This window comes from Homo sapiens, chromosome 9 (assembly GCF_000001405.40).
Source record: "Homo sapiens chromosome 9, GRCh38.p14 Primary Assembly".
NCBI classification, from domain to species: domain Eukaryota; kingdom Metazoa; phylum Chordata; class Mammalia; order Primates; family Hominidae; genus Homo; species Homo sapiens.
This window is the reverse complement of record NC_000009.12, coordinates 7,276,033-7,285,846: the sequence shown is the minus strand read 5'-3', so window position 1 is coordinate 7,285,846 and position 9,814 is coordinate 7,276,033. Positions and strand designations below refer to the sequence as shown.

The window sequence follows — 9,814 nt, the reverse complement described above, 5'->3', positions numbered from 1 at the left end:
ACTGAGTGGATGGGGACAGGGATGGAGACACTTATTTTCATTATACACTTTCAAACCTTTTGCATTTTGAATGTATGAATATATTGCCTATTGAAAAGCAAAGAAATTGCCTCATTAGACCCCTTAATCTATGCTCCCAGCTCTCACATCCCTTGTTTCCCATCAATTTAGTCACTCTAGTTTCTCTATGTGTGCAGGCACACTATGATCCACAGGTTGTTCTTCTCTAATCTTCGTTTCTGTCTTGTCTATCTGCGTCAGGAATCACTTCTCATTAAAGAGATATCTCCGTTAATATTTTTCTGTGCCTCTCGGTTCCAACCTGACAGTTTAATATCAAATCATCTAGCAATGGTTTTAATTACGTCCACCTGAAGGTCCAGAAATAACTCAGCAGAGCCTCAGCTTAGCAGTGATTTTATGTCACTGACCTTTGGAATATAACCTACTTACTCACTATAAAATAAAGTTGATTCCTTCTCCTAAACGTGACTTCAGAGCCTTATATTGGTCCTACAAAGCTGCAAACTGGCTGTTTCCCTCTTGGATTCTCATACTCCACCCCAAAGCCCCCAAGCCCACTCAATCCACAGAGAAGTTGTCTTGACCAAACTCCAGGCAAGCAGAGAACTGAAGAGTTCAGTCCATTTCTGCTATCACTTCCCACAGCCACAGGATATCACAGATGAGGACCAGTCCCGACAGTTCCATCAGAGCTTTGCATGCTATAGTGATGCCTAGTGATGTAGTGATGCCTTTGCATACTGTAGTGGGATATTAGAGCACCAACTCTACATTCAGTTAAGGTTGGTGCAAAAGTAATTGTGGTTTTTGCCATTACTTTTAATAGCAAAAACCATAATAACTTTTGTACCAACCTAATATTTGCTCTTATTATCCAGCTTTGGACATATTGCCAGAGGTCTCCTGAATGGGCCACATGCTGATCAGCTCTGCTTACCACCTCAGGCTTCCTTGGAGGAGTTCCTTTTGTATCTCTGTGTGTCTTCTGCCAGTTGACCTACCCAACGGGTTTCCCTAACAAAATCTCAGGAAGCAGGGGCTGGGGTCTCAACCCCTCCTACTCTGAAGGCTCTTGATTCAGGCAAATTCTCCACAAGAATCAGCTCTGCAGGCTTAGCAGCCCCATTGAAGCTGCCAGGTATGCAAGGAGTATTTATTTACTTGCAGCTTGCATAACAAAGAGGGCTTACGCAAATTACTGTTTCTTGGACAAGGAAAGTCAAAGGTGGTCTGCTTTCTCTACCCTCAGATGCAGCAGAGGGTGACATAAGCCCTAATTCTCACCCAATCCCACCCCAGATACCCCACTTAACCCCCACTTAAGTGGACATCCTTTAAGTGGACATCCTTTTTAGAAAGCAGTTGCATTTCAGAACACCTAATTCATGATGTCACAGCCTATCATGGAAAAAAAAATTCATCATAGAAGGTCACTGACAGTATTGAGTCAGACTTTCAATTTTGAAATTCTAAGAAGTATCAAGAACACACCGGTCTACTAGACTGATCTTCATATCAGGATAATTTGAATCATTCAGTAGTCAGGGTGGTAGAGTAGAAACAGCATGAGTTTGGGCATTAGAAAGAACAGTGTTTGAAAATGGTCTTTTTAATTCATTAGCTACAACCTCAAACTACTTAATCCACAAGAACTCCCAATTGCTCACCTGTAAAATGGAGATTGTTCTAAGGAATAAAATGATTCAAAGTCTATAAAACACCTACTCTTATGTCATAGGCACTCACATTAGTTCCTATCCCTTAAAAACCCACCATCTACAAGGCCAATGTAATCATCTCTAAATTGGATTACATTAAAGGGATTTCATCATTTGAAATGACAATGCTATTCAAGGCATTGTTTCAGGACTGCAGGAGACTTAGACATGAAAATGACACCATGGTAAGCTGCTGGCTGACTGACCCAACGACAGTCACTCTCAACCACTTTCTACCTTGACACCATCCACTGTTAAAGCTAGAAGAGTGAAGGTGGCCAAATAGGAGCAGCTCCAGTCTGCAGCTCCCAGCGTGATCAACACAGAAGACGAGTGATCTCTGCATTTCCAACTGAGATACCTGGTTCCTCACATTGGGACTGGTCAGAATTGGGTGCAGCTCACGGAGGGCAAGCTGAAGCAGGGTGGGGCATCGCCTCACATGGGCAGTGCAAGGGGTTGGGGGATTTCCCTTTCCTAGCCAAGGGAAGCCATGACAAACTGTAATGGGAAAATCGGGACACTGCCACCTAAACACTTCACTTTTCTAATGGTCTTAGCAAACAGCAAATCAGGAGGTTATATCCCATGCCTGCCTCAGCAGGTCCCACACCCACAGAGCCTTGCTCACTGCTAGTCCAAGATCCAACTGCGAGGCAGCAAGCCTGGCTGAGGGAGGGGCGTCCGCCATTGCTGAGGCTTGAGTAGGTAAACAAAGATGCTGGGAAGATCAAAATGGGTGGAGCCCACCACAGCTCAAGGAGGCCTGCCTGCCTCTGTAGACTCCACCTCTGGGGGCAGGGCATAGCTGAACAAATGGCAGCCGAAACTTCTGCAGACTTAAACGTCTCTGTCTGACAGCTCTGAAGAGAGCAGTGGTTCTCCAAGCATGGTGTTTGAGCTCTGAGAATGGACAGACCGCCTCCTCAAGTGGGTCCCTGACCCCCGTGTAGCCTAGCTTGGAGACACCTCCCAGTAGGGGCTGACTGACACCTCATATGGCCGGGTGCCCCTCTGAGATGAAGCTTCCAGAGGAAGGATCAGGCAACAATATTTGCTGTTCTGCAATATTTTCTGTTCTGCAGCCTCCATTGTCGATACCCAGGCAAAGAGGGTCTGGAGTAGACCTCTAGCAAACTCCAACAGACCTGCAGCTGAGGGACCTGACTGTTACAAGGAAAACCAACAAACAGAAAGGAATAGCATCAACATCAACCAAAAGGACATCCACACCAAAACCACATCTGTACGTCACCATCATCAAAGACCAAAGGTAGATAAAACCACAAAGATGGGGAGAAACCAGAGCAGAAAAGCTGAAAATTCTAAAAACCAGAGCATCCCTTCTCCTCCAAAGGATCACAGCTCCTCACCAGCAATGGAACAAAGCAGGACGGAGAATGTCTTTGATGAGTTGACAGAAGTAGGCTTCAGAAAGTCGGTAATAACAAACTTCTCTGAGCTAAAGGAGGATGTTTGAACCCACGGCAAGGAAGCTAAAAACCTTGAAAAAAGATTAGACAAATGGCTAACTAGAATAAACAATGGAGAGAAGACCTCAAATGACCTGATGGAGCTGAAAACCATGGCACAAGAACTACATGACGCATGCAGAAGCTTCAGTAGCTGATTTGATCAAGTGGAAGAAATGGTATCAGTGATTGAAGATCAAATTAACGAAATGAAGTGAAAAGAAAAGAGAAGTTTAGAGAAAAAAGAGTACAATGAACAAAGCCTCCAAGAAATATGGGATTATGTGAAGAGACCAAATATATGTTTGATTGGTGTACCTGAAAGTGACAGGGAGAATGGAACCAAGTTGGAAAATACTCTGCAGGATATTATCCAGGAGAACTTCCCCAACCTAGCAAGGCAGGTCAACACTTAAATTCAGGAAATACAGAGAACACCACAAAGATACTCCTTGAGAAGAGCAACCCCAAGACACATAATTGGCAGATTCACCAAGGTTGAAATGAAGGAAAAAATGCTAAGGGCAGCCAGGGAGAAAGGTCGAGTTACACACAAAGGAAAGCCCATCAGACTAACAGCAGATCTCTCGGCAAGAAACCCTACAAGCCAGAAGAGAGTGGGGGCCAATATTCAACATTCTTAAAGAAAAGAATTTTCAACCCAGAATTTCATATCCAGCCAAACTAAGCTTCATAAGTGAAGGAGAAATAAAATACTTTACAGACAAACAAATGCTGAGAGATTTTGTCACCACCAGGCCTGCCTTACAAGAGCTCCTGAAGGAAGCACTAAACACGGAAAGGAACAACCAGTACCAGCCACTGCAAAAACATGCCAAATTGTAAAGACCATTGACACTAGGAAGAAACTGCATCAACTAACAGGCAAAATAACCAACTAACATCATGACAGGATCAGACTGACACATAACAATATTAACCTTAAAAGTAAATGAGCTAAATGCCCCAATTAAAAGACACAGACTGGCAAATTGGATAAAGAATCAAGACCCATCAGTGTGCTGTATTCAGGAGACCCATCTCATGTGCAGAGACACATATAGGCTCAAAATAAAGGGATGGAGGAAGATGTATCAAGCAAATGGAAAGCAAAAAAAAGCAGGGGTTGCAATCCTGGTCTCTGATAAAACAAACTTTAAACCAACAAAGATCAAAAGAGACAAAGAAGGCCATTACATAATGGTAAAGGGATCAATTCAACAAGAAGAGCTAAGTATCCTAAATATATATGCACCCAATATAGGAGGACTGAGATTCATAAACCCAGTCCTGAGAGACCTAAAAAGAGACTTAGACTCCCACACAATAATAATGGGAGATTTTAACACCCCACTGCCAACATTAGACAGATCAACGAGACAGAAGGTTAACAAGGATATCCAGGAATTGAACTCAGCTCTGCACCAAGCAGACCTAATAGACATCTACAGAACTCTCCACCCCAAATCAACAGAATATACAGTCTTCTCAGCACCACATCACACTTATTTGAAAATTGACCTCATAGATGGAAGTAAAGCACTCCTCAGCAAATGTAAAAGAATAGAAATTACAAAGAACTGTCTCTCAGACCACAGTACAATCAAACTAGAAATCAGGATTCAGAAACTCACTCAAAACCGCACAACTACATGGAAAATGAACAACCTGCTCCTGAATGACTACTGGGTACATAACGAAATGAAGGCAGAAATAAAGATGCTCTTTGAAACCAATGAGAACAAAGACACAACGTACCAGAATCTCTGGGACACATTTAAAGCAGTGTATAGAGGGAAATTCATAGCACTAAATGCCCACAAGAGAAAGCAGGAAACATCTAAAATCGACACCCTAACATCATAATTAAAAGAAGTAGAGAAGCAAGAGCAAACAAATTCAAAAGCTAGCAGAAGGCAGAAATAACTAAGATCAGAGCAGAAGTGAAAGAGATGGAGACACAAAAAACCCTTCAAAAAATCAATGAATCCAGGAACTGGTGTTTTGAAAAGGTCAACAAAATTGATAGACCACTAGCAAGACTAATAAAGAAGAAAAGAGAGAAGAACCAAATAGATGCAATAAAAAATGATAAACAGGATATCACCACTGATCCCACAGAAATACAAACTACCATCAGAGAACACTATAAACACCTCTATGCAAATAAACTAGAAAATCTAGAAGAAATGGATAAATTCCTCGACACATACACTCTCCCAGGACTAAACCAGAGAGAAGTTAAATCACTGAATAGACCAATAACAGGCTCTGAAATTGAGGGAATAATTAATAGACTACCAACTAAAAAAAGTCCAGGACCAGAAGGATTCACAGCCAAATTCTACCAGAGGTACAAAAAGGAGCTGGTACCATTCCTTCTGAAACTATTCCAATCAATAGAAAAAGAGGGACTCCTCCCTAACTCATTTTATGAGGCCAGCATCATCCTGATACCAAAGTCTAGCAGAGACACAACAAAAAAAGAGAATTTTAGACCAATATCCCTGATGAACATCAATGCAAAAATCGTCAATAAAATACTGGCAAACCGAACCTAGCAGCACATCAAAAAGCTTATCCACCAAGATCAAGTGGGCTTCATCCCTGGGATGCAAGGCTGGTTCAACATACACAAATCAATAAATGTAATCCATCACATAAACAGAACCAATGACAAAAACCACATGATTATCTCAACAGATGCAGAAAAGGCCTTCGACAAAATTCAACAGCACTTCATGCTAAAAACTCCCAATAAACTAGATATTGATGGAACGTATCTCAAAATAATAAGAGCTATTTATGACAAACCCACAGCCAATATCATACTGAATGGGCAAAAACTGGAAGCATTCCCTTTGAAAACTGGCACAAGACAGGGATGCCCTCTCTCACCACTCCTATTCAACATAGCGTTGGAAGTTCTGGCCAGGGCAATCAGGCAAGAGAAAGAACTAAAGGGTATTGAATTAAGAAAAGAGGAAGTCAAATTGTCCCTGTTTGCAGATGACATGATTGTATATTTAGAATACCCCATCGTCTCAGCCCAAAATCTCCTTAAACTGATAAGCAACTTCAGCAAAGTCTCAGGATACAAAATCAACGTGCAAAAATCACAAGCATTCTTGTATACCAATAAAAGACAAACAGAGAGCCAAATCATGAGTGAACTCCCATTCACAATTACTACAAAGAGAATAAAATACCTAGGAATCCAACTTACAAGGGATGTGAAGGACCTCTTCAAGGAGTACTGCAAACCACTGCTCAACAAAATAAAAGAGGACGCAAACAAACGGAAGAACATTCCATACTCATGGATAGGAAGAATCAATATTGTGAAAATGGCCATACTGCCCAAGGTAATTTATAGATTCAATGCCATCCCCGTCAAGCTACCAATGACTTTCTTCACAGAATTGGAAAAAACTACTTTAAAGTTCATATGGAACCACAAAGAGCCCACATTGCCAAGACAATCCTCAGCAAAAAGAACAAAGCTGGAGGCATCATGCTGCTTTATTTCAAACTACACTACAAGGCTACAGTAACAAAAACAGTATGGTACTGGTACCAAAACAGAGATACAGACCAATGGAACAAAACACAGGCCTCAGAAATAACACCACACATCTACAGCTATCTGATCTCTGACAAACCTGACAAAAACAAGAAATGGGGAAAGGATTCCCTATTTAATAAATGGTGCTGGGAAAACTAGCTAGCCATATATAGAAAGCTGAAACTGGATCCCTTCCTTACACCTTATACAAAAATTAATTCAAGATGGATTAGACTTAAATGTTAGACCTAAAGCCATAAAAACCCTAGAAGAAAACCTAGGCAATACCATTCAGGACATAGGCATGGGCAAGGACTTCATGACTAAAACACCAAAAGCAATGGCAACAAAAGCCAAAATTGACAAATGGGATCTAATTAAACCAAAGAGCTTCTGCACAGCAAAAGAAACTACCATTGGAGTGAACAGGCAACCTACAGAATGGGAGAAAATTTTTGCAATCTCCCCATCTAACAAAGGGCTAATATCCAGAATCTACAAAGAAATTAAACAAATTTACAAGAAAAAAATCAAACAACCCCATCAAAATGTGAGCAAAGGATATGAAAGACACTTTTCAAAAGAAGACATTTATGCAGCCAACAGACATATGACAAAATGCTCATCATCACTGGTCATCAGAGAAATGCAAAGCAAAACCACAACGAGATATCATCTCACACCAGTTAGAATGGCAATCATTAAAAAGTCAGGAAACAACAGGTGCTGGAGAGGATCTGGAGAAATAGGAACACTTTTACACTGTTGGTGGGACTGTAAACTACTTCAACCATCGTGGAAGACAGTGTGGCCATTCCTCAAGGATCTAGAACTAGAAATACCGTTTGACCCAGCCATCCCATTACTGGGTATATACCCAAAGGATTATAAAACATGCTACTATAAACACACATGCACACGTATGTTTACTGCGGCACTATACACAATAGCAAAGACTTGGAAGCAACCCAAATGTCCAACAATGATAGACTGGATTAAGAAAATGTGGCACATATACACCATGGAATACTATGCAGCCATAAAAAAGGTTGAGTTCATGTCCTTTGTAGCGACATGGCTGAAGCTGGAAACCACCATTCTGAGCAAACTGTCGCAAGGACAGAAAACCAAACACCACATGTTCTCACTCATAAATGGGAATTGAACAATGAGAACACTTGGACATGAGGCAGGGAACATCACATACCAGGGCCTGTCATGGGATGGGGGGATGAGGGAGGAATAGCATTAGGAGAAATACCTAATGTAAACAACAAGTTAATGGGTGCAGCAAACCAACATGGCACATGCATCCATATGTAAGAAACCTGCTCGTTGTGCACATGTACCCTAGAACTTAAAGTATAATAAAAACAATAAAATAAAAATAAAATAAAATTTAATTTAATTTAAAAAAAAGCTAGAAGAGTTAAATACCCACTTTACCAGGCTTCGCTTCAATGGGGAATAGCCAGGTACATGGCTCTGGGTAAGGAGATGGTAAGTCAAAAGTCTACTAGCAGGTTTTTAAGAATCAAAAGGAATAGAAATGGCTGCTGCTCCCCTTCCTCTTCTTTCCTGCCCTTAATGTTAATGGCTGGAGGGACAGCAGCCCTCTTACAACAATGAAGCAACAAGCATGAGGAAAAGACCAAGAGAATTGCAATGAAACTCACCCTGAGGCTGGGCATGGTAGCTCATGCCTGTAATCCCAGCACTTTGGGAGGCCAAGATGGGCAGATCACTTGAGACGAGGAGTTCGAGACCAGCCTGGCCAACATGGCAAAACCCTTTCTCTACGAAAAATACAAAAAAATTAGCCAGGTGTAGTGGCACTCACCTGTAATCCCAGCTACTCGGGAGGCTGAGCCACATGAATCTCTTGAACCTGGGAGGCAGAGGTTGCAGTGAGCCGAGATCTTGCCATTGCACTTCAGCCTTTGTGAAGGAGTGAGACTCTGTCTCAAAAAAAAAAAAAGAAAAGAAAAGAAACTCGCCCTGTTATCATTAAGCCAACCAACCAACCCCAGAAGCTGCCTAACTCTGGAATTCTTATTCTATGAAATAATTCAACCCCTATTTGTTTCAACCTCTTACCAAAGTTTTCTGCTACTTGTTGCTAAACACATTCTTAAATGACACAAATGCTGCCCTCAAGAAGCCCATATTCTAGTGGTAGAATAAGATATGTTTTCAAATTTCAGAAATACGAAGTGGAAGTTATAAGCATGACTTGACAGAATATAATAAATTATATACAAGTCACAATTACAGTCACAATACCCAAATATTTTAGGGAATCATGGTAGAGACATTGCATATTTAAATGTAGTACTTTATTCCATAGTCAGCATTCTAAAATATGAGTACATTACTGCATATAGCTGAGCTCCTCAGGAAATACAAATGAAAGACACATTGCTTGGAAAATATCCAATTTTGTATATATTTATCTTTTCAGATATATGAAAACCATAAAGCAAAAGGATTTAGAAGAACTGTAGAGAATCTCACAATGCCTAAGGTTATAAAAAGTCAAATTTCCAAATTTATGGCACAACACACATTTGGTTTGCTAGTTTGCCAAGCATTTCTTTGTAAACACTACATAGGTATGACAAAGTTTCCTATTTGCCTAGTACTATAGATAAAGCAAATACGTAAATTGAATAGGCTGCAGGTATCTTCACTTACTGAATTTTTCTATTGCTATTATGTCACGCTGAGTTTAAGTGAAAAGTTTAGAGTGTATAGTATGTTTTGCATAGACTGTATCAGAAGAGAGTTAACAGTATTTTAGTGATTCTGTTTTGCAATGTGTGTGCTATTAGCATAAAGTCTGAAATACAGGCATATTTTTCCAGTTATTTACTGCATAATTCTTAGAATAATGGGACACTAACATAAGTCTCGTGCTTTAAAACATTTCAATTGAGTTTGCATCCAAAATGGCATTGCATTACCAACAGAGACTTCACTAGGTCCAAAGGTGACAGAGCTGGCAGTCTATGAATGATAATTTAAAAAACACTGAG

At 40.6% G+C, this 9,814-nt stretch overlaps 1 annotated feature.

Moving 5' to 3' along the window:
• Window positions 832-1,447: an enhancer, noted in NCBI's record as "OCT4-NANOG hESC enhancer chr9:7284400-7285015 (GRCh37/hg19 assembly coordinates)". NCBI's record gives its function as "activates a minimal SCP1, AML or CMV promoter by ChIP-STARR-seq in naive H9 embryonic stem cells {active_cell/tissue: H9 hESC(naive)}" and the evidence as "EXISTENCE:reporter gene assay evidence [ECO:0000049][PMID:30033119]".